At 53.4% G+C, this 27,995-nt stretch overlaps 1 protein-coding gene and 2 long non-coding RNA genes across 4 annotated transcripts in view, besides 3 other annotated features; 2 read left to right on the top strand and 1 right to left on the bottom strand.

Moving 5' to 3' along the window:
- Positions 1,172-1,365: a silencer, noted in NCBI's record as "fragment chr9:132489030-132489223 (GRCh37/hg19 assembly coordinates)". NCBI's record gives its function as "represses an EF-1alpha promoter that drives an FKBP-Casp9 reporter gene in an ReSE screen in both phorbol 12-myristate 13-acetate-treated (for megakaryocytic differentiation) and untreated K562 erythroleukemia cells {active_cell/tissue: K562 | K562(+PMA)}" and the evidence as "EXISTENCE:reporter gene assay evidence [ECO:0000049][PMID:32094911]".
- On the top strand, positions 1,249-1,827 carry LOC124902284 (uncharacterized). Its single transcript, XR_007061815.1, has 2 exons — positions 1,249-1,367; positions 1,784-1,827. It is a non-coding gene; the product is annotated as an uncharacterized LOC124902284 (long non-coding RNA).
- Positions 2,905-3,404: an enhancer, noted in NCBI's record as "H3K4me1 hESC enhancer chr9:132486991-132487490 (GRCh37/hg19 assembly coordinates)". NCBI's record gives its function as "activates a minimal SCP1, AML or CMV promoter by ChIP-STARR-seq in primed H9 embryonic stem cells {active_cell/tissue: H9 hESC(primed)}" and the evidence as "EXISTENCE:reporter gene assay evidence [ECO:0000049][PMID:30033119]".
- PRRX2 (paired related homeobox 2) overlaps positions 5,442-27,995 on the bottom strand; it is a 57,028-nt gene continuing 34,474 nt past the window's right edge. For both annotated transcript variants that reach the window (NM_016307.4, XM_017014803.1), the window contains exons 2-4: positions 8,698-8,885; positions 7,342-7,520; positions 5,442-5,899 (exon numbers count right to left, since the gene is read on the bottom strand). In NM_016307.4, coding sequence (NP_057391.1) covers positions 5,764-5,899; positions 7,342-7,520; positions 8,698-8,885 — 503 coding nt within the window. In that variant the 3' untranslated portion in view covers positions 5,442-5,763. The remainder of the gene's footprint in view (positions 5,900-7,341; positions 7,521-8,697; positions 8,886-27,995) is intronic.
- On the top strand, positions 9,410-15,222 carry PRRX2-AS1 (PRRX2 antisense RNA 1). The gene is made up of 2 exons (NR_132102.1): positions 9,410-9,543; positions 14,855-15,222. It is a non-coding gene; the product is annotated as a PRRX2 antisense RNA 1 (long non-coding RNA).
- Positions 14,879-15,694: an enhancer, noted in NCBI's record as "H3K27ac-H3K4me1 hESC enhancer chr9:132474701-132475516 (GRCh37/hg19 assembly coordinates)". NCBI's record gives its function as "activates a minimal SCP1, AML or CMV promoter by ChIP-STARR-seq in naive H9 embryonic stem cells {active_cell/tissue: H9 hESC(naive)}" and the evidence as "EXISTENCE:reporter gene assay evidence [ECO:0000049][PMID:30033119]".

The raw sequence follows: 27,995 nt of genomic DNA, 5'->3' as shown, positions 1-27,995 counted from the left end.
GGGAGAATCACTTGAGTCCAAGAGTTTGAGGTTATAGTGAGCAAGGATCTCACCACTGCACTCCAGCCTGGGAGACAGATGTTCTCAAACACACTGTTTCCAGTACCTCCACTGACCAGCAAGTATCCAGAGGACACATCTAGCTCTGTGTGAGGCACCAGGGGGACACAAAACACAGGGAAGAAAGCACTTTTTTTTTTTTTGAGACGGAGTCTCACTCTGTCACCCAGGCTGGAGTACAGTGGCATGATCTCAGTTCACTGCAACCTCCGCCTCCCGGATTCAAGCAATTCTCCTGCCTCAGCCTCCTGAGTAGCTGGGACTACAGGTGTGCGCCACCACGCCTGGCTAATTTTTGTATTTTTAGTAGAGACGAGGTTTCACCATGCTGGCCAGGCTGGTCTCAAAATCCTGACCTCGTTATCCGCCCGCCTCGGCCTCCCAAAGTGTTGGGATTACAGGTGTGAGCCACCAGTCCCAGCCAAAAGCACATTTTTTTTTAACCTTTGAAGACCTTATTATGTACTCGAGGCTGTTACATTGGCCTGCTTTCTTTTTAAAGATTGTTTTTTCTATAAAGTTATTTTAAAAATATGGAGACTCGTGGATTGTGAGTCACCATAAAATTTAAGCTAATTGGCCTGGCAGAGCGGCTCAGCCCTATAATCCCAGCACTTTGGGAGGCCCGGGCAGGTGGATTGCCTGAGGTCAGGAGTTTGAGACGAGCCTGGCCAACATGGTGAAACCCTGTCTCTACTAAAAATACAAAAAGTTAGTTGGGTATAGTGGCGCAGGCCTGTAGTCCCAGCTACTCGAGAGCCTGTGGCAGTAGAACCAATTGAACCAGGGAGGTGGAGGTTGCAGTGAGCCGAGGTTGTGCCATACTCCAGCCTGGGTGACAGAGTGAGACTCAGTCTCAAAAAAAAAAAAAAAAAAAAAATTAAGCTACTCACATTTTGGCTTGTGTCTTTCCAGATTTTTTACATTGCACGTATAAAATATGTGATAAACACTGATGTGCACATTGCTTCCCCCGCCCCCCGATTTTGAGATTTTGATTATTTTTCAAAGTAGAGCTTAGAGACGGGTTTGCTGGGGGAAAGCATGTGAATATCTTCACGGCTGTTGGTTCCTGTTTCCTAAGGCTTCTGTAAACGCTGTAACCCCTGCTGGTGGTTTGGGATTTGCTTGTTTCTTTGTCTTTCCAGAGGAGGCTGGGTCAGGAGCCCGTTGCCAGCCCTGGAGATCTCCCAGGAGAGCGGAGAGGATGGGGTGTGTGCGGCCACATCGCGGGAACCCAGTCCAGGGCCCTGCAGCGGCCCCACGGCGCCCCCCAGGGGCGAGAAGCAGAGGTGCAGGAGCCGGAGGTACCAAGTTGATTTGGGTCCCCAGCTGGGGCTCCTAAGGCTAGTGGACATCAAAGGAACGGGGGAAGAGCCTCTGGACCGGGTATGCCGGGTCTCTGGACAGAGAAAGTGCCATTTCACCCCAGGAAGGGGAGTACGTATATTTTCTCAAACTCCATCCCTCACCCTGTGCTCCTCCACCGTAAACACTGAGGCACCCATTTATGGGCGGGAACTTTGTGCCAACAACCCTATGCAGTGGGTTCTGTAATTATCCCCATTTTACAGACAAGGAAACCAAGTCCCCGAGAAGTGCCTTGTCCAGGGTCACAGGACCAGAAACTCTAGTCTTTATTTCTCTGGTTTGGGTTTTTGCAAGAGCTGACTGTCTTTCCTTCAATCTCTCTCTCTCCTTCCCCCTCCCTTTCTCTCTCAAGTTCTTTTATTTCACATAAAAAAAAATAAAAGCAGAGACACGCAATGCCCTCTCCCAAACTCAAGCTCACTTGGCCAAATGGGCAAAGGCAGCAAGTTCTTCAGCCCAGGGCAGGGCCTTAGGTACCTTGTCCTCATGGAAAAATGATACCCTGGGATGGGTGCCCAGGAAGCTGCCCACACAGCCCTGCAATTAGGGCTACAATAGCGACAGCAGTGTTTGAATATTTTCTCTTTTATAGGGAGGGCTGCCTCGACCCCTCCCTCAGCTTCCCGGAGCAGCATGTGTAAACGATTAAGCTGGTTTGTTTTCTCTAGAGCGTTCGGAGGAAGTGACATTAACATCCTCATGGTCCAACGGCAAGGCCAGCACCTCCGTGGGAAGGTCCCCGTTTTTTTCTGAAGCTGGCCTTCCTGGGACTGGCCTCCCAGGCCCCCACCTGGTGTGACCTCATCACTGCACAGGCAGCCTCAGCCTGGCGATTCTTCAGGGTGCCCTCCCTTTGGGTTGAAAAGTAGAAAGGCCTGAGATGCCTGCACCAGGCCTGGAGCACTGGCCAGGGGCCTGGGTTGGGGGGTCTGTCCACTCACGAGCTCCCAGGTTAGTGCTTCCTGGGGGAAAACAGCCTGCTCTTCCCGGCTGCCCGTGAGTGCTCTGCTCTGGGCCCCCATGCTCTGGACCAAATGCGGGCACAGATCCCCCAGATGGGGAAAGGGAGCAAGCTTTGTGCCTAGGAGGACACTCAAGCCAGGTTGGACCCCAGCTCTTGTCTGGGTGGGAGGACAGGCCTGCATCTTCCAGAGGCTTCCACCAGGCAAGTCCCATGGCCAGGATCTCTTCTTCCTGGTCACTCCTGTGTGTCTAACCCCAAACCAGCTTTTTTTTTTTGGCAGAATCTCACTCTATCAGGCTGGAGTACAGTGGCCTGATCTCGGCTCACTGCAACCTCCACCTCCTGGGTTCAAGTGATTCTCCTGCCTCAGCCTCCCGAGTAGCTGGGATTACAGGTGTGCCCCACCACGCCTGGCTAATTTTTGTATTTTTAGTAGAGACGGGGTTTCACCGTGTTGGCAAGGCTGATCTCGAACTCCTGATCTCAAGTGATCTGCCCGCCTCGGCCTCCCAAAGTGCTGGGATTACAGGCGTGAGCCAACGTGCCCAGTCTGCAAACTGGCTTTGAAGGCTCCCAGTCTCCCCAGCCCATCACCAAGTCACCAATTCCTGTTTTTTTTTTTTTTTTTTTTTTTTTGCTGCATCCGAAACATCTCCCAGCTCCACCAACTCTGTCCCCATCTGGCCCAGGCCACAGCCCCTCCCACCTGGACACCCGCCCTGGCCTCCGCAAGGGGCTGTCTCCTTCACTCTTAGCCCACGGTCCCTCTTCCTCATGGAGGCTCAGGGCACGTCCCTCCACCAAGCAAATCCCCTCCATGGCTCCCCACAGACAGGGTGACATCCAAACATCTAGTCCCGGCCACACAAACCTCGTTTGAGCCAGTTCCTGTTCCTCTCCACCTTCACCCGGCACCAGGAGATCCAGCCCGGGAACAGCTCCCACTGGCCCAAAGAGAAGCTTCTGGCCTGCCCCAGGGCTACACTCATGCAGTCCCCTCAGCCAGAAACACCGTTGCCCCTCCCCCCTCTTTGGTGAACTCTTCATCCTCTCAGGCATACCTCCTCCAGGAAGCCTGCCCAGATGCCTTCAACAAGGTTTGGGGCCCCGTCTGTGCTCCCTGGGCCCCTGCAGCACCCCCTCATAGCCTTAGTGGTGCTGTAATTATTCCTTTGTCTTTGCCTCCTCATAGCATGGCGCAGCCTCTGCGGCCAGGAACCTTGCGTTTCATAATATTTTCTCAGTGCAAGAATGGCAAATGGAGGTCCAGAAAGCACTTACCCGAGGCAGAGGCCAAACTGAGCCAGAAAACACAAATCTGACTCCCCCTCCTCCCCCAGTCCAGGGCACAGGCCTGGCCCTCACAGTCAGGTGGGGCTGAGCAGCTGTAGACCTCAGCAGAACTCCCCCTCCCCTCCACCCCAGCCCCCACTGGTGCCCCAGGCTCTCCTGCTGGTCAGAGGCCCTGCTGCGGCCAGGGAGGAAGCCGTCCAGCCACCGAAGGAAGAAGTCACACAGCGACCGGGCGGTCACTCTTCCCCAGGTGTGTTTGCACATCTGAAGGGGCCACGTTCTGTGGTGGAAATCCGGATGGAGTATGGGGAAGAGTATTCAGGGGTGTATTGGGGGCAGGTGGGAGATGGTCCTCACTTTATTCACAAGTGTAGCTGCTGTACCTTCTAACTAAAGTGGGGGCCAGGCACAGTGGCTCACGCCTGTAATCCTAGTACTTTTGGAGGCTGAGGTGGGTGGATCACCTGAGGTCAGGAGTTCAAGACCAGCCTGGCCAACATGGCGAAACCCCATCTCTACTAAAAATACAAAAAATTAGCTGGGCGTAGCAGCGGACGCCTGTAATCCCAGCTACTTGGGAGGCTGAGGCAGGAGAATTGCTTGAACCCCTGGAGGCGGAGGTTGCAGTGAGCTGAGATCGTGCTGCTGCACTCTAGCCTGTGCGACAGAGCAACACTCCGTCTCAAAAAAATAGAATAGATAGATAAAGAAAGAAAGAAAGAAAGAAAGAAAGAAAGAAAAAGAAAGTAGGTTGTCCCCGTGCAGACTACTCATGTGTGGAGCCCCATGGCTGGCACTTTAGGGGCATGGTGACCCTGCATGGGCAGGGCGGGATACTGGAGAACTGGCCCAGCTCATTGACTCCATCGAGATTCCTTGCTGTGCCATCTGCCACCCCGCCACCCCAAGGGCCAGGGTTCCCACCACCATTGCCCAGGGCTGACCGTCTTTGTGCCCTCTGGGATGGGGGAGTGTTGTCCTACCTCCCGGGGGCTGGACTGGGGTGACTTTGAGCAGAAAGGCTCTCCTGACTTCCCTGGTGGGCGTGGGGACAGGTAGAGGGACTGGCCTCAGACCATCCCTCACCCCTGTTTTCTGCAGATCCCTCGTAAGTGGTGTCACTGGCTGGTGGCACCCTCAGTTACTGGCTGCAAATGGGTGGGTTGAGGGACTTGAGTCTTCTGCTGGCCTCAGCTGTCCTGGGAGCCTGGCCGGGACCTACAGTCTGCACCTGTTTTCTGGGCCATTTCCTCAGCCCCTTCATGGTTAAATGGCCGGAGAGATCCCACGCCTTCTGTGTGCCCAGAAGCAAGGGACTGAATGTCCTTCCATCTGTCCCACACACCCTCTGGCCAGTCTAGGAATCCATGATCACCCATCCTGCCCCGCAATAGGATGGGGAGACGATCCCTGCCCAGGTTCACACAGCAAGGCTCTGCCCAAACATCTGGGTGTCCCCTTGGGACTCAAGATGGGAGATGGGGTCTAGGGTGGGTTTCTGTCCTCCTCTCCCACCCCCCCAGCCCCCATTTCTGGGGGCCCTGCAGGGTGACAGAGGACTTCATTCCCGGGAACAGTACAGATATGAGGGCAGTGGGCCTCCCATGGCTGCTGGTCTGAGCCAGGCCGAGGCGGTCTCCATGCCTGCTGCAGGCCAGAAAAGGGCCCAGGAAGGCCATCCAGCCCTGTGGGGTCCCAGCTCTCATCTCAGCCACCAACATTGTTTGCGGCCCTTACCCACCTTCCTGCAACCTTTTGGGGCTTAAAAAAATGGTTTTATTTCTTAAAGACAAAAGCTTTTTGGTTTTAATACACAAACTAAATGAGGTCCTTGGCAGGCTCTTCCACCTTCCGGCCCAACCCCTCCAAGGGTTGTGGGCTGCAGTCTCTGGTGGCCAAGGACAGAAGAGCTGGGCCCGGCTGCAGGGGCCTCAACAGCCTCGTGGGCTCGGGAGTCCAGGCTGGACAGACGGGCCAGGAGAGCTCATCCAGGAGAAGGTCACTTCCTGGGCGTCTGCCCCCTTTTCTATTGCTGTCCACCCAGGGAGGCGTCTGGGTCCTGGTGGGACTGGACTTCAGTTCACCGTAGGCACCTGGCTGTGGTGCAGGCTGAACTCCTTGGCCTTGAGACGGAGGCTGGCGATGCTGTTGGCCATGTTGACCCCTGGGGTTGCGGGGCCTGAGCTCCCAGGGCTGTAGGGTGGCACTGTGCTGGGGGCGACATGAGACACAGGTCACATGGGTGCGGTTGGCTTCTGGGTATCAGTGCTCGACCCCAGCCTCTGGTCCTGCCACCCCCCTCCTTAGCTTGCTCTCCTGGGCAGCCTTCACCCAGGACTGGGGGTGATTTGGAGCTGTAGGGTTTGGGCAGGAGTCAGAAGTCCCCCCAGCTCAGTGCTGGGACACAGGAGCCTCCATATGAGCCATGAGCTTCCTGACAGCAGGGCCTGGGTTGGTCCATGCCCCCCTCCATGCGTACCCTGGGCCTGGCTCTCAGCAGGATGGAGGCAGAATGAACAGGCACCTGGATTTAAGGATGCCCCTTGGGGCCAAGCGTGGTGGCTCACGCCTGTAATCCCAACACTTTGGGAGGCCGAAGTGGACGGATCACCTGAGATCAGGAGTTCGAGACCAGCCTGGCCAACATGTTGAAACCCTGTCTCTACTAAAAATACAAACAATTAGCTTGGCGTGGTGACGGGCGTTTGTAATCCCAGCTACCCAAGAGGCTGAGGCAGGAGAATTGCTTGAGCCTGGGAGGCGGAGGTTGCAGTGAGCCGAGATTGCACCACTGCACTCCAGCCTGGGTGACAGAGCGAGACTCTGTCTCAAAAATAAATACATAAATAAATAAGGATGCCCCTTGGTTTTCCTGCCCCCTGTAACGATGAATAGGGAGGGAAGTTAGGAGGGCGGTGAGGACTAAGAACCCTCAAGCGGACCCACGAAATCCCTGTCCCCCCACATGACCATGGCTCCAGCAGAGCCACCCTCACAGCCCAAGGAGCAGACGGCGCCTCTGGAGCTGTGGGGTATGGTGGCCCGACTCTCGAGCACCTCCTGCCGACCATGTCAGAGTCTTTCCAGCTTTGATCCAGACAAAACTGCCCCAGAACTTGGCTCTGGGCCCCAGCCATGCCCGCAGGCCAGGGAGACCATTTCCTCAGCCCTCCCAGCGTCAGTTTCTCGTCTGGAGGGTGGACACAGGGCGCTGGGGCCCCCGTGACAGCCTAGGAATCTTCCTGCAGGTTTTCTACTCCCTCAGGGTGATGCCTGTACTTTGCTCCCCCTCCAGATAGGCCTGTTTTCTCCCGGCTCCAGGTGTTCACGCACACACTCACACCCCTGTGGACACGCATGCTTGCACGCTCCTTTGCATACGCAGGCATGTGCATGCACACTCACAGTCATGTGTGCCCACATGTACGTTGACACACACACACATGCCAACTCTTACAACATGCACGTGCAGGTGCTCGTGAACACCCACTCACAGGCACACTCGCCACACATCACTTGGTGTACCCCAGATCCCAGGGGCGCGTGGACACCATTCAAGCTCTCTCCAGACCCTCAGAGGAGTCCAGGCCGGAAAAGCCCTCTGGGATTCCTCGAGCTGCCCCTTCCTGGCCCAAAGGTGTTCCCGCTCTCACCTGTAGGGGGACGAGGCTGTCCAGGAGAGATAATCTGGACTCAGGGCGGTGGGCCGGGGAGCCACGGGCTGCTCGATGGCGGCCTCCTGGCTGTAGGACTTGAGCAGCGAGGCAGAGCGGCTGGCCAGCATGGCCCTTTCATTCCTGCGGAACTTGGCGCGGCGGTTCTGAAACCAGACCTGTGGGTGGGAGGGTGAGCAGGGTGCAGCATGGGCAGGGGGGACCCAAGTCCTTCTGGACCTGGGTGTGTGCCTGCTCTGTCACCAGCCCAGGGCTGGCAGCGTCACCTCTCTGACCCTCAGTTTTTTCATCTGTAGAATGGGGATGACAAATGACGCCTGCTGCTGGGTATGTGTTGGAGATTGAGAACACCAATGAATGGAGAATGAATGGAGAATGTGTTGGAGAATGAGAACGAATGGAGAGGCACTCGGCCACTGGGAGCGAGGTGCTTGCTGAGCACTCGCGGGGAAAGGCGCTTGCTGAGCACTCGGGGGGAGAGGCGCTTGCTGAGCACTCGGGGGGAGAGGCTCTTGCTGAGCACTCGCGGGGAGAGGGGCTTGCTGAGCACTCGCGGGGAGAGGCGCTTGCTGAGGACTCGCGGGGAGAGGCGCTTGCTGAGGACTCGCGGGGAGAGGCGCTTGCTGAGCACTCGGCTCAGTGCTGGCACAGAGTTAAGAACTTGAAACTGGAAAAGGACTTCTTTATCAGAACCCTTGGTGCCAGGCATTGTTCTAAGCGCTTTACGAAAATTTATTTTTATTTGTTTGTTTGTTTGTTTATTTATTGAGACAGGGTCTCACTCTGTCACCCAGGCTGGAGTGCAGTGGCGCAATCTCAGCTTACTGCAACCTCTACCTCCCGAGTTCAAGCGATTCTCCTGCCTCAGCCACCCAAGCAGCTGGGATTACAGGCGCGCGCCAGCACGCCCGGATAATTTTTGTACTTTTAGTAAAGATGGGGTTTCATTATGTTGGCCAGGCTGGTCTCAAATTCCTAGCCTCAAGTGATCCACCCACCTCGGCCTCTCAAAGTGCTGGGATTATAGGCATAAGCCACTGTGCCTGGCCGCTTTATGAAAATTTTAACTCTAATCCTCGAAGGACCCCTATAGCAAAGACCTACGTGATCCTCATTTTCCAGGTAGGCAGGTGCCTGCAGCACAGACAGCTTAAGTCACTTGCTCAAGGGCACACAGCCAGTAAGTGGCAGGGCTGGGATCTGAACCCCCGTCCTCCTGGCCTCAGATGCTCCTGCTCAAACACCCCTCCTGGGCAACTGTGTAATCCCGGGTGAACAGTGGCTGTGCGCTCCCACGCGCACGCTCCCACGGGAGGCCCGGGACTGAGCGCTCACCTGAACGCGCGCCTCGCTGAGGTTGACGCGCCGGGCAAGCTCCTCGCGCACAAAGGCGTCGGGGTAGTGCGTGCGCTCGAACACGCGCTCCAGCGCCTGCAGTTGGCTGCTGTTGAACGTGGTGCGGTTCCGCCGCTGCTTCTTCTTCCGCTTGGCGGCGCTACCGCGCCCCGGGCTGGGACACTCACCTGCGGAGGTTGGGGGGGCGGGATGGTCAGCAGGACGGCCAGTGGCTACAGTCACAGTTCAGCCCCCAACTCTGCAGTTTGCTCTGAGTGCTTTAGTGCCGCCGCCAGGAATGCGTCCCTTTAATTCACTCCCTCATTCCTTCCTTCTGGCATCCACCCATCCATTCACTCTTCAACACGTATTTACTGAGCACCTGTGTGGCAGGCCCAGTGCTAGACTCCGGGGAGATAACGGAGAACAAAAGCAGCCACACCCCTGCCCTGTGGAAACCCCAGTCTGAGCCAACTGAGATGGGACCACGGCAAGAGCCCTGGGGACAGGTGTCCCTTCCACCAGGGACAAGTGACCTGCTCAAGGAGGGCTCAGGAGACACCTGAGTGTCCCCAGCACCCGGCCCAGGCTGTGGGGCATGGCACATTCTGCATGGACACCTGTTGCTGACATGTAATAATAATAATAATTAATATGTCATAAAGAGCAGTGGGAGTCAAGGCTCAGGACCCACAGATTCTAGGAAGCTCCCAGGAGCCCTAAAGACAGATGTCGTGATCCTCATCATTCCTAAGGAGGAAGAGTCAGAGAGGCTATGGTCTCGGGCCCAAGTTCAAGGTCCCAGTGGAGTCATTGTTGGTGGAAGGATCTGAACCCACCAATCGGGTACGAGAGTCCTCATCTTCTCCTTTTTAGCCAATCAGGCAGCTGTTGAGAGCAGCCTTCCTTTCCAGAGGGCCTACTAGGCCAGAGGCTGTACTGGGGGCCGGGGAGAGACCAACCAGAGGGATCCATCGGCAGGGGAGGCAGGCCCCGAATAAGCTTTGGTGGGGCCGTGGGGTGGGTCAGGGCAGGTGTGGGCCAGGGCACGGGAGGATGCTCAGCTCTGGTGGGGATGAGGAGCTGGCCGGGGAGGCCCCTCAGGAGAGGTGGAGCTTGCAAAGGGTTTGAAGGATCCCCAAGAGTTCTCCAATCAGTTAGAGAGTGAGGGAGGGTGTCCAGCCAAGGCCCAGCAGGGGCGGTGGAGGATCCCAGCAGGGGACCTGACCGAGGGTGGTGCTGGCCTGTGGTACAGAACTAGCAGCTCTGGTAAGGAGGGCCCAGCAGAACCCTGGGGAGGTCCTGGAGTGGCAACCTCTGGGCCCAGCCTGTACCTTGGGGGAGGGGGTGGGGGGGCGTCCAGCTACTATTTCCACATTTAAACCTTATCCAAGGGCACCTCTGACCCTTCATCCTCTAGGGCTCAGCCTATTGTCCACTCCTCCAGGGGGCCCTCCCTGATCACCTGAGTCCACATGGAACCAAACCCCCTTCCCTCCAGCACTTAGAATCAACTAATGCTGCCGGTTCAGCACTTCTTTTGTATCTGATTTTTTCTCATTAAAAATGTGTATTTTAATAACCAAGTAATCACACTGCTTGTCACAGTAACAGATTCAAACAACACAGATGGGTATAAAGTAAAACAAAATACTCTCCCCTCCCCTATCCCACTCCCCACATTTTCTTTCTTTTTTCTTTTTCTTTTTTTTTTTTTTTTTTTGAGGCGGAGTCTTGTTCTGTCCTCCAGGCTGGAGTACAGTGGCATGATCTTGGCTCACTGCAACCTCTGCCTCCCGGGTTCAAGTGATTCTCATGCCTCAGCCTCTCGAGTAGCTGGGATTACAGGCGCCCACCAACATGCCTTGCTAATTTTTGTATTTTTAGTAGAAACAGAGTTTCACCATGTTGGCCAGGCTGGTCTCGAACTCTTGGCCTCGAGCAATCTGCCCGCCTCGCCTCCCAAAGTGCTGGGATTACAGGTGTGAGCCACCATGCCCAGCCCCACTGCCCACATTTTCTAAGATTACAAATACAAGTTTAAAAAATGGCCAGGCGCGGTGGCTCACACCTGTAATCCCATCACTTCGGGACGCTGAGGCAGGTGGATTACTTGAGGCCAGGATTTTGACACCAGCCTGGGCAATATGGTGAAACCCCATCTCTACTAAAAACAAAACAAAACAAAGACAAAGACAAAAGAAATTAGCCAGGCATGGTCACAAGTGTCTGGAATCCCAGTTACTCCAGAGGCTGAGGCACAAGAATCGCTTAAACCCAGGAGGCTGAGGTTGCAGTGAGCCAAGATTATGCCACTGCACTCCAGCCTGGGTGACAGAGCAATACTCTGTCTCAAAAATAAATAAATAAATAAATAAAATTTAAAAATAAAATTAAAAATTGACAAGCACACACTGGGGCTTCAACTTACCTCTTTTTATTTAATAATATTCTGGATACCTTTCCATCTTAGTGAAACAAACCTAACCATCTTTATTGCGATTGTTTTTCCAAAATGTATTTTCCCTCTTGTTCCCTCTCCCCTACCTTCAGGAACCATTTTAAGAGTTAGTTCTTCCTTTATCCCTCCAGCATTGCTTTTTGCAAATATAACAAAATATGTGTAATATTTTCTCCCTTTCTTCTATCAAAAGAAAGCATAGCGGCCAGGCACGGTGGCTCATGCCTGTAATCCCAGCACTTTGGGAGGCCGAGGCAGGTGGATCACCTGAGGTCAGGAGTTCAAGACCAGCCTGGGCAACATGGCAAAACCCAGTCTCTACTAAAAATACAAAAATTAGCCAAGTGTGGTGGTGCATGCCTGTAATCCCAGCTACTCTGGAGGCTGAGGCAGGAGAATCACTTGAACCTGTGGGGTGGAGGTTGCTATGAGCCGGTACCGTACCACTGCACTCCAGCCTGGGCGACAGAGTGAGACTCTTGTCTCAAAAAAAAAAAAAAAAAGAAAGAAAGCATAGTATGTACTGTTCACTTTTTGCCCCACCTAACGATATTTCCCAGGGATTCCCCCATTCAGCACACCGGAGCCCTTCATGTTCCTTTTCACAGCTGCATAGCAGTCTACCATGTGACTCTGCTGTGTTTATTCAACCAGAGCCCTATTGATGGGCATTTGGAGGGTTTCCAATCTCTTGGAACTAGAAGAATGCCACAATGCATAACCTCATGCAAATATGATTTTCTATTTTTGCCAGTGTATATTTAGGACAGATTCCTAGAAGTGGAATTTCTGGGCCAATGAGTGAATGCTAGATGTGGCCAAATTCCCTCGTATAACTGGTCTTATTTTGCATTCCCACCGGCCGGGTTTGGGGCGACGTGTTTTGCCTACAGTTTGGCCAACAGAAGAGCTTTGGATTTTAGTCCATACCTTGTATTTTTGTTTCCCCAGTTACATGTTCCCATTTTACACCCGATGTTCTTTGCACAGTACTGGGCATTTGTTCAGTGAACTGTTACTGAGCTTCTAGAACATGCCAGGCCCAGTGATGGGTACTGCTGAATATCTGCTTTTAATCAGTTCCCAGGTTAGGAGGGTTTACTGACTCTTGAGCAACCAACTGATTTGATGTAAGGTTAAATTGCTCCATGAGACTGTAAATGAGTGTGTGTGTGTGTGTGTGTGTGTGTGTGTGTGTGTGTGTGTGAGAAAGATGTCCCTGAAGCTGGGTTTGGACCACTGCTTCTCAACCGAGGGCAATTTTGCCCCTGTGAGACATTTTTGATCGTTAGGACTGGGGAAGGGGTGCTACTAGGATCTAATGGTAAAGAGGCCAGGAGTGCTGCTAAATATCTTTTTTATTTTTTGAGACAGGGTCTCACTCTGTTGCCCAAGCTGGAGTGCAGTGGCGCAATCGTAACACACTGCAGCCTCGACCTCCTGGGCTCAAGCAATTCCCCCACCTCAGCCTCCCAAGTAGCTGGGACTACAGGTGCCTGCCACCATGCCCAGCTGATTTTTATTTTAATGTAGAGATGAGGTCTTACTATGTTGCCAAGACTGGTCTTAAACTCCTGACCTCAATTCTCCTGCCTCAGCCTCCCAAAGTACTGGGATTACAGGCACGAGCCACCATGCTTGGCCTTGCTAAATATCTTTCAAGACACAGGACAGGCCCCCACGTCAATGAATTATCTTGTCCAAAATGTCAATGGCACTGAGGTTGAGAAACCCTGGTTTAGAGGGATGACTAGGAGGTTATGTTCAGAAGTTTCCCCCTTTGGGAAATACTTGCAAACATACGGGACCAGGCGGGGGCTGTGGGGGCAGTGGGGAGGGAGCACGTGGTGGCCCTGTGGAGCTGGTCTCATTGCCGGGACCGCTTCACTCTTCACTCCTCAAGCAAAGGCGAGGATGGATGAGAATGTCTGCTGCCTGTGAATGTCTTTCCACCCCCACCACCTCGATGAGGAAGAAACTTTAAACCGAAACAAGAGCCCTTGCGCTGAAAACTGGGTGGTGATCAATAGCCTGAAAGCAGGGATGGAAGTTTCTGGAAAGCCAGTCATTGCAGGGGTCATTTCCACCCCCCTTCAGGCAGTTCCTCTTGGGCACACACCCAACACAGGAGGCATTTCAGCCAAAAAAGGAGACATTTTCGGGAAGTTTCTGAGCAATTCAAACCTGGGGGTGTTTAAATGAAAACCATTTTGCAGCCTTCGCCTTGCCGAGTAAGCGCCCGAAGAAACAGCTCCACTTTCATGCCAGTTAAGCTGTGTGGCGACATGGAGCCAAAATCCTCATGCAGAGGCATTTACCCCCACCCCAGCCAGCCCCAGACCGCCCCCAACACTGGCTGGCGTCCTCACTGCTTCCCAAGTCAGCTCTGCCCAGGGTCGTGCCAAGGCAGCTGTGATGGGATGCGCTCAGCCAGAGCCGGTTGGGACAGGAGTGGTGCCAAGTGCTCCACGTGTGGCCACCCACCGTCCCCTGCATCCACCCTAGGAGGCACTGTGCCATTTTATTTTATTTTATTACTTTTTTTTTTTTTTTTTGAGACAGAGTATCGCTCTGTCCCCCAGGCTGGAGTGCAGTGGTGCGATCTCGGCTCACTGCAACCTCTGCCTCCTGGGTTCAAGCGATTCTGCTACCTCAGCCTCCAGAGCAGCTGGGATTATAGGCTGGAGTACAGTGGCACGATCTCGGCTCACTGCAACCTCCGGCTCCTGGGTTCAAGCGATTCTCCTACCTCAGCCTCTCGAGTAGCTGGGATTACAGGCGTCCGCCACATGCCTGGCTAATTTTTTTTGTATTTTTAGTAGAGATGAGGTTTCACCATGTTGGCCAGGCTGGTCTCGAACTCCTGACCTCAGGTGATCCACCTGCCTTGGCCTCCCAAAATGCTGGGATTACAGGCGTGAGCTACCAATGGAATCATTTTACACACACGGAAACTGAAGCTGTGAGAGTGTCTTGCCCAACGTCGTACATCTGGGATTGAAATCGATGTCTGTTGGCCAGGTGCAGTGGCTCATGCCTATAATCCCAGCACTTTGGGAGGTCGAGGCAGGCGGAACACCTGAGGTCAGGAGATCAAGACTAGCCTGGCCAACATGGTGAAACCCCATCTCTACTAAAAATAAATAAATAAATAAATAAATTAGCCAGGCATGGTGGCGGGCACCTGTAATTCCAGCTACTCAGGAGGCCGAGGCAGGAGAATCACTTGAACCCGGCAGGCGGAGGTTGCAGTGAGCTGAGATCACGCCATTGCACTCCAGTCTGGGCAACAAGAGTGAAATTCCGTCTAAAAAAAAAAAAGAAAGAAAAAAAAGGAAGAAATCGATGTCTGCTGGGAGGCCTGGCCAAGCCAAGGCTGCGAACCCCTCTTCACGGGGCCTCCTCCCTCTTCTACCTCGCTCCCAGGCTCAGCAGCGTAGGGGGCCTGTCACACGCTCAGTCCCAGCTCTCTGATCCCATGGGTGGGCGGGGTCAGGAGATGCCATGGTGGGAGGCCTCCAGCCTCACGTCACCTCTTCGTCCTAAAGGAAGCCCTCACCCCTGGGAGGGTGTGGGATAGCACCTTGCTGAAGGACACACCAAGCTGCTGTGAGGAGTTGAGTGTAGCTCAGTGCCAAGGACATAGTAATTGCTCAATAAATGTTCACTCCCCTTAACATGATTGCTTTTGTGCAGCCAGCTCTGTATGAGAAGACAAGGACCTTTCTCCATGATCCTTTCGTCCCTGTAGCCCAGCCTACAGCAGAAAGATGGGGCTGCACCCCTGCCGTGGGCTGAGGCTGGGAAGGAACGCGGACGGGGAGGAGGACCCAGGCAGCACCTCCCCGCGGACCAGAACTCGAACCCACAGCTCTGGACTTAGCCGGGGGCTCTGGCGCTCGCCTCCGCCTCCGAGCGGATGTGCCGGATATTTGTTGCCCTAAGTTCCTGAATCACCTCCTGAGAAATGCATTGTGGTGGGCGTGTGTGTTCCTCTGGGGACTCCGTGCTTGGGCTTAAAGCATTTAGGAAATCAATAAAATAAATACTCTCTAAGCCTCAGGCCACTGGCGTCAGGTCCCTGCCTTTTCACGGGGGCCCTCTCCTCCGGTCAGCAAACCCTGCGTCTGCACTCTCCAAGGAGGGCCGTGCCCAGAGTCTCTTTTTGTTCAGGAAAAGTTCTGCTTTTCCCTGAGACTGAAACAAAGCATGAAACCGCCTCCCTTTGACCAGGCTGTTTAGCTGCTTTTGTAGGGGGCCTGGATCCCAGAGGAGAGAAACGAGCTCAGATGGGGGAGGCCTGTCTCGCGCTGTCTCCTCCTTAAAACCAAAACGACATCGTCCCCGATTACATTACAGTGAAAAAATGACTGGTGCACGGTTTTCTGCCATTAAATTATTTCACACGTACCATTTAGTTGGCTGACTGGGGGCCAAAGGCATTTAAAAACTCTGCTCTCAGCCAAATGATCAAGTGTTCCCACCGCCCTCCCCTGTGCCTATGGTTTTTCTTATTCCGTGTAATTTAAGGGTCTAAATAGTCTGGAGGGAATTAACTGCAGATTCTTCCTAAGACAAATAAACTCAGCCTCTTCGTTCCTGCCTTTCTCAAGCTGTTGAGAGACACACTCTATTTGTTTTTGCTTCAAATAGTCAGTTTGCGCCTGACCCCCGGGCTGAGGTGAGCTCCAACCCAAATAAATAACTTTTATTAATTAGCATTTATTCTGAGCAAATAAGCAGCCCTCCTCACCACCCCCAACGTGATCTCTGCCAACAGGATCGCAAAAACAAACAACGGGTCCTTGGGACCTCGATGTGGATTTAACAAATTAACACTGGGCCTTCTCAGAGGAGCCTCGGAGCTGGAGAAATATTTACAGCCTGGAACGTCTTAGGCAAGAAGTGGAGGTGGGGTAGGGTGGAGAGGCCGTGGAGGCTTCGGTTTCCCCCTGAGATTTCTTGGTAGAGATTTGGGTTCCTTTGAAGGGCCCCTGGGAGAAGGGCTCAGACAGGAACTCTGAAACCACATCCTTAGCCACTGCCTGGCATCATCAGCAAGGACACAAGTGGCCCTGAGGGAGGCTTGAGGGAGGATTCTCACCTCCCCCAGTAAGGAATGGAAGGCAGTACCGCCTACTGGTTAAGGAGGTGGCCGGTCCGGGTCTGGCTCTCAGGCCGGTCCGCCTCACTAGCAGAGTGCCGTGGGTGAACCTTTAACCGCTCCCAGCCTCAAGAATCTCACCTGAGGCCGGGCGCCGTGGCTCATGCCTGTAATCCCAGCACTTTGGGAGGCCGAGGCGAGTGGAATGCCTGAGGTCAGGAGTTTGAGACCAGCCCGGCCAACATGGTGAAACCCCGGTCTCTACTAAAAGTACAAAAAAATTAACTGGGTGTGGTGGTGTGCACCTATAATCCCAGCTACTTGGGAGGCTGGGGCATGAGAATTGCTTAAACCCGGGAGGTGGAGGTTGCAGTGAGCCGAGATCATGTCACTGCACTCCAGCCTGGGCAACGAAGCAAGACTCTGTCTCAAAAAAAAAAAAAAAAAAAAAAAAGAGAATCTCACCTGAAAAATGGGAATAACAGGATCTACCTCATTTAACCCTCATAACAACCCAACACGGCTGGCTCCTAGTTCCATTTTACGTAGGAGGAAACTGAGGAACAGAGAGTTAAATGACATACTGATGCCACATGACCAGGAAAGACCAGAGCTGGGATTGGAACTCAGAGAGCAGCACACAGTCCGGGGTCTTAGCCACTTCCCCACACTGCTGCCTGAGTCACCTCGGCATGGGAAGCCAGCCCCAAGATCCTCGTGGTGCTGGGATTCTGGGGGTCTCCCTGGTGGCTTAACAGTGTATGGATCAACAAAAAGGAGGGAGGCTGAAGGCAACAGAAACATTCTTGGGGCTGCAGCATGTGGCTTCAGGCACACAGGCAGCAGGGCAGCGAGGATTAAGGATGTGTGCAGGCCCAGCCCCAAGCCCTGTGAGGGTGGGCCACAGTCAGGCCGGGCACAGAGAGAGCTCAACAACATGTGAAGACAGAAAAGAAGGAAGGGGAGAAGGGAGGATAGAGGAGAAGAAACATGGTCCCTGGGGCCTCATGGAGAAGGATCCCGGGGCTTCTAGGCTGTTCCAACCCCAGGAGTGCAGCCCTGCCCCAGCCAGCACCCCGACCAAGGGGCCCAAGAGCTGACTTTCGTTTTGTTTTGTTTTTTGAGATGGAGTCTCACTCTGTTACCAGGCTGGAGTGCACTGGCGCGATCTCTGCTCACTGCAATCTCCGCCTCCCAGGTTCAAACGATTCTCCTGCTTCAGCCTCCCGAGTAGTTGGGACTACAAGTGCCTGCCACCACACCCAGCTAATTTTTTGTATTTTTAGTAGAGACGGGGTTTCACCATGTTGGCCAGGATGGTCTCGATCTCTTGACCTTGTGGTCCACCCGCCTCAGCCTCCCAAAGTGCTGGGATTACAGGTGTGAGCCACCGCGCCCGGCCAAGCTAGCTTTCAATCAGGCCAAGCTGGCCTCAACCCCAGAAATTCAGGGACCAGGTGTAAGGCACAAAGGAGGGTCTTGGGTCCTCTGGTGCCAGTTACAAGGCACAGGTCCATCTTCACCTCCCTGGACCATTGCTGGATGGGGCCACCTAGGCCACTCCAGTAGGCAGAGCCAGGGCAGGTGGCCTCAGGGCTGCCCGGCCGCTGTTCCAGGTCCCTGCCTCTTTGGGGTCACTGCTTGCATCACACACACCACGCCCTCTCACCATGGACCCCTGCCTGAGCTGGCAACGTCTCCTCCCTCTCTTGCTCACTTTCAGGTCTCAGCAGAGATGCCTCCTCCTCCAAGAAGCCCTCCTGGACCCACAGGCTTAAGCTCCCAAAAAGCCCTGTGCCTCTCCCATTGTAGCTCTGTTATACTGTAGGGTAAGTGTGGGGTCATCGGTCCAGTAGGGGCTGGGACTTACTGTTTTCTGTCTCCTTGGAATGCATCACAGGGGCTGGCACAGGGAACCTCTCATCAATCTGTGTTGAGTGCTGAGTGTTGAGTGAAGGGGAGGCATGGGAAGGGCCGGGTGAGCCTGCAGAGCCCGCCCTCCTGTGCAGGGGTCTAGGTTCCTCCCCTGGAGCCATGGAGGCCTGGTGAGGACACGTCCTCCGAGTGAGGAAGAGGCTGGGGGAGGCCGGCCACCACCAGCCACTGCCCTGCCACACTTTTAAGAATGTTTCACCTCATTAATTTTGAACAAAAACCCGTGACGCTGACACATTTTTATAGCTACCAGCCTGGAGAAGGAGAAACACATCCCGGGAAGGAAGGTGATGATGGAAGCCGCAGTGGGGCCCGAGGAGTCAGACAGGTCCCCAGGGGGCCCCATCCCATGGCTTCCCCGGCCTCGGCACAGCACACAAGAGCGAGAGGCATGGGCCACCCAACCTGGGACTGCCGTGCTCTGACCTGCTCCCAGCCCTGGGGGCCGGTAGCCAGTGTGGCTGCAAGAATGGTGGCTAGTGTGGCCTCCGCAGGCTCAGGATGACCCTGGAGTTTGGAGGAGGCTGGAGGAGGTTCCCTCATGTCCCCCACAAACCTCAGCAGAGCCCTGCTTGGAGGCAGTTGCGGTGTATCTGGGTCTCTCTGGGGTCGGGAGCCTCACCCCTAAATACATGACATGCACACATTTCCATGGGGCCACCAGACCCACAAGAAAGCGGAGGGGCCAGTGACCCAGCAGGAGCTGCCCCTGGAAGGGAGCACAAGCACCTTCCCACCTCTGGGCCTTGGTATCTGCTGTTCCCTCTAGCTAGGGCACCCTTCCCCCATCCCCACCGCACTGGCTAAAGCTGACCCAGCCCTGGATTTCAGCCTACATGCCCAGCCCTGAGAGGCCTTCCCGGCTCCCATACAAGCGCAGGTCTCCTTGTTATGGACTCCTAGGCCTTCTCCCTCTCCTGCACATCTGCAATTAACTAAAACAGAGAAATGACGTGTTTGGGTTATCTGCTTCATGCCTGTCTATCCCACATTTGACTCTAAGATCCAGACGGGCAGGGCCTGGGTTTTCCTTGTCAATGCTGTATCCCCAGGACCAGGCAAGAAGTTTGGTTTCAAAAATATTTCTGAATGAATGACTATGTAAATGAAGGAGCGGCTCACTCCAGAAAAGGATCTGAAGTCTCAACTTCCAAAGCCAGGTCCCTTTATCTTCAAAAGGGCCAGACGATGGCTGTTAGATGTGACATCAAAAACACAAGCAACTACAGAAAAAAAGATAAATGGAACTTCATGAAAACTAAACAGTTTTGTAACTGTTATAACCATTAAGAAACTGAAAAGACAACCCACAGAATAGAAAAATTATTTACACATTACATATTTGGTAAGGGACTTATGTTTAGAAAATATAAAGAACCCTTACAGCTCAATAAAAAGACAAATATCCCAATTTAAAAATGAGTGAAGGATTTGAGTAGACATTTCTCTAAAGAAAATACACAAATGACCAATAGGCAGAAAGACGCTCAAAATCATCAGCCAGCAGGGAAATGCAAATCAAAACCATGATGAGACAGACTTCACACCCACTAGGATAGTTAGAATCAAAAGACAGATAACGGCCGTGCATGGTGGCTCAGGCCTGTTTAAGCCCAGCACTTTCAGAGGCCGAGGCAGGTGGACTGCTTGAGGTCAGGAGTTCGAGACCAGCCTGACCAACATGGTGAAACTCCGTCTCTATTGAAAATACAAAAATTAGCCAGGCGTGGTGGCAGGTACCTGAAATCCCAGTTACTCGGGAGGCTGAGGCAGGAGAATGGCTTGAACCTGGGAGGTGGAGGTTGCAGTGAGCCGAGATCACGCACTGCACTCTAGCCTGGGCAACAGAGCGAGACTCCAGTAGGCTGAGCCAGGGCAGGTGGCCTGATAACACCAAGTGCTGGCCAGGAAGTGGAGAAACTAGAACCCTCATACACTGCTGGTGGGAATGCAAGGTACAGCTGCTGTGGAAAACAGTCTGGGAGTTGCTCACAAGGTGAAACATAGACTTACCATCTGACCCAGCAATTCCACTCTTAGGTACAGACGCAGGAGAAATGAAACATGTGTCCACACAAAAACCTGTACACAATGACATATGTCCATAGCAGCATTTTTTTTTTTTTTTGAGACACAGTCTCCCTCTGTCACCCAGGCTGGAGTGCAGTGGCACGATCTCGGCTCACTGCAACCTCCTCCTCCTGGGTTCAAGCAATTCTCCTGCCTCAGCCTCCCTGGTAGCTGGGACTACAGGCGCACATCACCGTACCGGGTTAATTTTTGTATTTTTAGTAGAGACGGGGTTTCACCATGTTGGCCAGGCTGGTCTCGAACTCCTGACCTCAGGTGACCCACCAGACCAGCCTTGGCCTCCCAAAGTACTGGGATTACACGTGTGAGCCACCGCGCCCGGCCATAGCAGCATTATTTATAATAGCCAAAAAGTGAAAGCAACCCACATGTCCTTCAACTGGTGAATGAATAAATAAAATGTGGCCCATTCATGCAATGGAATAGTATTCAGCAATAAAAATAAATGAAACACTTAGAGATGGTAACTGTGGGTTAACCTTGAAAACATGATGCTAAATCAAAGCAGCCAGCCAGAAGGGAATATATAGTGCATGATTTCTTTTATTTATTTATTTATTTATTTTTTGAGACAGAATCTCACTCATTATGTTGCCCAGGCTGGAGTGCAGTGGCGCCATCTCAGCTCACTGCAACCTCTGCCTCCTGGGTTCAAGCGATTCTCCTGCCTCAGCTTCCCAAGTAGCTGAGATTACAGGTGCCAGCCACCATGCCTGGCTAATTTTTGTATTTTTAGTAGAGATGGGGTTTCACCATGTTGGCCAGGCTAATCTCGAACTCTTGACCTCAAGTGATCTGCCCGCCTTTGCCTCCCAAAGTGCTGGGATTATAGGCGTGAGCCACTGCACCAGGCCCTAGTGAATGATTTCTTTTATATGAAATGTCCAGAATAGGCAAATCCATAGAGATGGAGGTAGACTGGCAGCTGCTGGGGCTGGGGGGACTGCAGTGAGGATGCTGGAGAGTGACAGCTAAAAAGTGCAGGGCTTCTTTTGGGGGTATGAAAATGTTTTAATATTTATTGTGATGATGGTTGTACAACTGAATATACTAAAAAATCACTGGACTGCACATTTTATCTTTCTAATTTAATTTTATTTTTTGAGATGGTCTTCCTCTGCACTCAGGCTAGAGTGCAGTTTTGCGATCATGGCTTACTGCAGCCTCGAACTCCTAGGCTCAAGTGATCCTCCCACCTCAGCCTCCCCAGTAGCTGGAACTACAGGCATGCGCCACCATGCTCAAATAATTATTTTTTTTTTTTTGAGATGGAGTTTCACTCTGTCGCCCAGGCTGGAGTGCAGTGGCGTGAACTTGGCCCACTGCAACCTCCGCCTCCCAGGTTCAAGCGATTCTCTTGCCTCAGCCTCCCGAGTAGCTGGGATTACAGGCGCATGCCACCACGTCTGTTAACTTTTGTATTTTTGGTAGAGACAGGGTTTTACCGGGTTGCTCCTGACCTCAAATGATCTGCCCCCCTCGGTCTCCCAAAGTGCTGGGATTACAGGTGTGAGCCACCGCGCCTGGGAAAAAAAAATTTTTGTGTAGAGATGGGAGTCTCACTATGTTGTCCAGCCTGGTCTCAAACTCATGGCCTCAAGTGATCCTCCTACCTTGGCCTCCCAAAGCACTGGGATTATAGGTGTGAGCCACCACATCCGGCCCTGGACTGTGCACTTTAAATGGGTGATTGTACAGTATGTGAAATATACGAAATAAAATTATTCCTAAAAACACACAGAAAAAGGAGGTGGTGTCAAGAGAAGCATTGAGATTGGAGAGAATGGCAAGCAAAGGATATCTCCTGAGTCTCTGGGGGTGCCACAGGTAGTGAGGTGACAGGGGGTGAGGAGTGAGGTGGGCTGGGGTGCCGGGGAGGCCCCAAGAGGTCAGGGGCCTCTGGGTTAGGGTCTTTGGGGAACCCTCAGTGAGAGAGCCAGCAGGAGTGGCTCTTGAACTCCTGACCTCAGGCGATCCACCTGCCTCGGCCTCCCAAAGTGCTGGGATTACAGGCATGAGCCACCGTGCCCAGCCAGGGAGTGGCTCTCGCACAGAATGTCCCCATGCGGCCGGGTCACAGCAGCAGGCTAACGGTAGCGGGGAGCCAGGGTTGGGGACAGGTGAGGCCAAAAGTTCTTCTGAGCCCAGGATCCTTGAGAAAAGGAGTCTTCAGGGCCAGGCACAGTGGCTCGTGCTTGTAATCCCAGCACTTTGGGAGGCCGAGGCGGGCAGATCACCAGAGGTCAGGAGTTCAAGACCAGTCTGGCCAACATGGTGAAACCCTGTCTCTACTAAAAATACAAAAATTAGCCGGGCATGGTGGCACCTGCCTGTAATCCCAGCTACCCGGGAGGCTGAGGCAGGAGAATTGCTTGAACCCGGGAGGCGGAGGTTGCCGTGGGCCAGGATCAAGCCACTGAACTCCATTTGCCTCCTGTTCACAGGCAATCAAAGGGCCAGGGGGGCCAAGGCCAGATGCAGCCGAGTGGCTCTGAGGCCCTGGCTCCCCAGCGTGGCCCTAGCAGGAGCCTCCCCTCATATCCCTCAGCCCCTGCGTTTTGGTGCCTGACTACCTCCCTCTGCACTAGGAGCTGGGGGTCCCAAGTCCAGCTCAGTCTCTCTATTCCTGAGACCCCAAAACTAAGCTCTAGAGAGGGGGGCACCTGTTGGAATGGGGTGCGGGGTGGGTGGGAGGCAGGGAGTCACCCAGGAGGAAGGGGAGCAGCCCTCTGCTCGAAATTTGGTCTAAGAGAGGGGTTCATGTCTGTCCCGTCTGGTTTTAATCTAAGGTTGATGGCCAAATGCCAGGTTTATTGTAAAGCCTACATTTTAATAAGGCGCTGGTATCGGGAGGAAAGCTGCCCTCGTTAACTGTTTCCAGACCACGATGAAGTTTTCTGCTCAGGGCCCAAGGTGGGTTTTTCTCTCCCATTTAAGAGCTCCTGGGCCTCCTAAAGCCCAGAGCCAGTTGGGAACTTGGGGTGAGGGCTGGGGCCCAGGCACAAAGATGTTGACTTCGTGTGGCTTGGTTTTGCAACAAACCTGCAAACAGCTCTGCGGTCTCAAACCTGTCATTCTTGTCGTCTCGAGGACTCAGGGTCTGAAGGGACTTTAGAGGTCATCTGTCAAGACCCCTCATTTTGCTGATAGGAAAACTGAGGCCTGGAGGGGCAGTGACTCGGCCACGCACTCACAGCAAGGCAGTGGAACCCCAAGTTCTGTCTGCTGAGATGTGCTGCCTGCAGACACACATGCGCTTCCTTCCTGCTCCCATCTCTGTTCCCGGGTTTCCTGGGAGGATGCAGGAGAGAATATTCCCAACCCAGCAATTGGGTTAGGGGGGCTACCAGCAGCCCACCCAGATAGCAAACGCCTGCCTGCCCTGAGCATCTGAGAATGAGAAAAATTGCCCCCGTGTGTCCTCAGACAAGAGGTCTCTCCTCTTGGATTCTTGGTTTCACCATCTGTATTGGGACAAAACAGTATCTCTCCCTCCCTCTCAGGTGGCTCAGTGAGGATGGCGTGGCCCAGGGCTCTCCCAAGGACATGCTTAACGTGGTGCTCCAGAAATGACTGCTAACCCCACTATTATTCATCCCATATGAAGGCTAGGCCTGGCCTGGTGGTTCTTCCCCACTTTAATCATGAACCCCCCTTGAGAACTCTGAGGAACTCTACGAACCATTCCCTAGAAAAACACAGGCGTGCAGAAAAGTTTGCATGCAATGTTGTACGGAGAGGTGGTTCACACACTTTGAATCCTGTCCACAGACCCCACCCTAAAGCACCAGCTCCATGGAAAGTCAGTTCTCTCTGTCCTGGAAGAACCTGCCCCTCTGCCCCCTCTTGGGGTCCCCTGGCCAGCCCTTCATGGCGAGCAGCCCAGACAAGGGCAGTGCCTGCGAGGCTGACGGGACCTGCCGTGCCCCTGGCTCTGGGCAGTGCTGCATTCCCAGAGAGGCTCAACTTTAAACATCGCTGGAGGTTTCTATGACCCATTTGTGAGTTCCGGGCAGTGCTGGAAAATGTGAGTCTGAGCCTTGCTCGGCAAAGCTCCAATGGCGTCCTGAGTGTTTCTGCCGCGCCCCTCACCGCAGCATGGGACTGTGGTGAGGCGAGAAGGACTTCTTCCACACCCTTAATTTTTTTTCTTTTTTGGTTTCCATTTAACCCACTTTATTATGCGCCTGGCACTGGGTTATGGAGCCCTGCGTCGTACAATGCAGAGGGTACTGTTATTAAGCCCTGTTCACAGTCAGGGGCAATGAGATTCAGAGAGGTAAAGTACCAAACCCAGGTACCACTGCCAGTGATCAGGGGTGATTTATGTCCAGACTCTGTCCCCAAAGTGGCTGGTATCTGGATGAAAGCTGCCCTTGGAAAAGTTAACCATTTCCAGACCAGGCGAAGTTGCTGCTAAGGGTCCCATGTGGGAAATGAGCTCTTCCCCATTTAAGAGCTCCTGGGCTGCTCATAGTCTGCAGCCAGGACCTGCAGGGAAGCCAGGGCAAGTGCTGGTGGCCAGGCGCAGAGACCGTTCAGACTCCTGCGGCTTAATTGGCCACCCCTCTCTACCCGAACAAGTCGGAATGCTCGGCCCACACCCACCCACCTGGCTCCCCTGCTATGTCTCAGCCTCCACCAGGTACCCACCAGCTGCTGTGCCCCACCCAGGACAGCCTCACCAGTGGGGTGCATGCTCAGAGTCTGGGCACGGGGCCATCTTCGACATCTCCAGCATGTTTCCAATCACATCCTCACACAACAGCCAACCCTGGCTCTAGAAAATTCTCCATTACAGTAGGTCCTAGTCCACCTCCCTGTGGTCCCCACGACATGCTGTGTTTACACTTTGAAGGGCAGCACACAGGACTCTATTCCTCAACGACCCCCTTGCTAGCCTCTGAGGGCAGCTGTTCTGGTGATTTCAGCCACAGCTCTGGGAGCTGCCCCGCCCCCCTTGCCACACTTTGCCACGTGAAGAGGCTGGCACCACATCTTCCGCATTTCTTAAAAGGGAGTCCACTGACAATTTGCCTGGGAATTCCCCGGGAAGCTTGTTAAAGCCAGACACTCCCATCTCAAGGGTCCAGCTGGGAATCTGCAGTAGACACTCCCTCACCCGCAAGTTCAGGAACCACAAGCTTCAGAGCAGACATCTGGGAATGACATGGCTCAGACTGAAAGACACCAGTCCACACTCTAGCTCTGTACCGTCCAACGTGGGAGCAACGAGCTGCACGTGGCCATCTCAATGAAATTCTCACTGATTAAAATGAAATAAAAATACAAATTCCATTCCTCAGTCGAACAGGCCACATTTCAAGGGCTCAATATCCACACATGGCCAGTGGCCGCCACATTGGACAGCACAGATAGGAAACATTTTCATCATCACAGAGAGTTCTAGAAAGTTTTTTTTTTTTTTTTGAGACGGAGTCTCGCTCTGTCGCCCAGGCTGGAGTGCAGTAGCGCGATCTCTGCTCATTGCAAGCTCCGCCTCCCGGGTTCACGCCATTCTCCTGCCTCAGCCTCCCGAGTAGCTGGGACTACAGGCGCCCACCACCATGCCCAGCTAATGCTTTTGTATTTTTAGTAGAGACAGGGTTTCACCGTGTTAGCCAGGATGTTCTCGATCTCCTGACCTCGTGATCCACCCGCCTCAGCCTCCCAAAGTGCTGGGATTACAGGTGTGAGCCACCGCGCCTGGCAGTCGTAGAAAGTTTTGAGACGGAGTTTCACTCTGTCGCCCAGGCTGGAGTGCAGTGGTGCGATCCTGGCTCAGGGCAGCCTCTGCCTCCCGGGTTCAAGCGATTCTCCTGCCTCAGCCTCCTGAGTAGCTGGCATTACAGGCACCCGGCATCAGGCCTGACTAATTTTTTTGTATTTTTAGTATGGATGGGGTTTCACCATGTTGGCCAGGCTGGTCTCCAACTCCTGACCTCAAGTGATCCGCCTGCCTTGGCCTCCTAAAGTGTGGGATTACAGGCGTGAGCCACTGCGCCTGGCCTAAGGACATTTGAAAGGAAAAAAATCTCCTACAAATCCCACGACAACAGCATATCTGTTTAATTCTTTGCATACTTTTTGTTGCATGTCCACATGTATCTAGCTATCACATGACTCCATTTACAGTGTGCATGAATATCATTTTCTGTTTTGGATGGGGCATGGATTAAGAGCCTAGGATTGTGATCAGACACACCCAGGGATGCTGCGTATGGTTGCACAGGCTGTGCACTGTACAACTTCAGGGGTGCCATTCCCACAGACTCCAGTGTGACTGGTGTCCCCTGCAGTTATGCAGTGGACAACCTGCCCAACCATATCCCGCTTTCCTGGAAATAGCTGCATTCTGGTTCTGGCTTTCCATGCCAGCTCTGTGAGCTCTGTGAGACTCAGTGTCCCCACTGTAAGTGGGAACAGCAACACCTAAAGTGCCTCGACAATACCTGGCACCCAGTTAGTGGTCAAGTAACATCAGCTATCGCGTTGGTGACTGCCATGACCTCACCATTTTATGAAGCGAAGTCAATGTGATGGTGCAGGTAGACTGCTTCCCGCTGTGAGCGACACACAGTGAACGATGGTCCCTCAAGCTCCATCCTAAACCCTCTGCTCTGTTTCCTATCTTCTTCCTCACGTTAGTGTGAGCGGCTGCATCACTTCCCCTAGTGGGGATGCCAAAACGGCCTCACAGCCCTTCCCCTCTTGTGGGATATTTAGGTCTCTTGCGATTTTCCTCTATTGTAAACACTGTGAAAAATGTCTCATTTCTTTGTCCTTCTGCTGGATTTCAAGACCCCAAATCCTTCACATAAGTTCTTCCAACAGCGCTCTCCTCTCCAGAAGGAACCTTTTTGCTACCAAGTTGGTCAGAACAGGCCAGCCCACAAAAGGTGGCGTACTGGCTAAGCACCGTGGCTCACGCCTGTAATCCCAGCACTTTGGGAGGCTGAGGCGGGTGGATCGCTTCAGGCCAGGAGTTTGGGACCAGCCTGGACAACATGGCAAAACCCCCACCTTTACAAAAAATTAAAACATTAGCCGGGCATGGTGGCACGCACCTGTAGTCCCAGCAACTCAGGAGGCTGAAGTGGGAGGATCACTTGAGCCCGGGAGATGAAGGTCACAGTGAGCCACAATTGTGCCACTGCACTCCAGCCTGGGTGACAGGTTCAGACCCTGTCTCAAAACAACAATAACGGCCAGGTGTGGCTCTGCAATCCCAGCACTTTGGGAGGCGGAGGCGGGCAGATCACTTGAAGGCAGGAGTTCAAGACCAGCCTGGCCACCATGGTGAAACCCCGTCACTACTAAAAATACAAAAATTAGCCGGGCTTGGTGGCATGTGCCTGTACTCCCAGCTACTCAGGAGCCTGAGGCAAGAGAATCGCTTGAACCTGGGAGGCGGAGAGCCGAGATTGCGCCACTGCACTCCAGCCTGGGCGACAGAGCGAGGCTTCATCTAAAAAAAAAAAAAAAGCCAACAACAACAACAAACCAAAAAAAAATACAGCACCCCACTGAGGAAGAGCTGGACCCTGGCGGCAGGCTGCCTAAGTTCAAATCCCAACTTCACTGCTGTGTGACCCTGAGGAAGTTACAACCTCTCTGTGCTTCAGTTATCCCATCCAGAAAATGGGGATAACAAGATCTTCCTCCCAGAGTTGTTGTGAAAATTAAATGAAAGAATATATATATAAG

Source organism: Homo sapiens, chromosome 9, assembly GCF_000001405.40.
Source record: "Homo sapiens chromosome 9, GRCh38.p14 Primary Assembly".
Lineage (NCBI taxonomy): Eukaryota > Metazoa > Chordata > Mammalia > Primates > Hominidae > Homo > Homo sapiens.
This window is presented reverse-complemented; position numbering and strand designations above follow the sequence as displayed.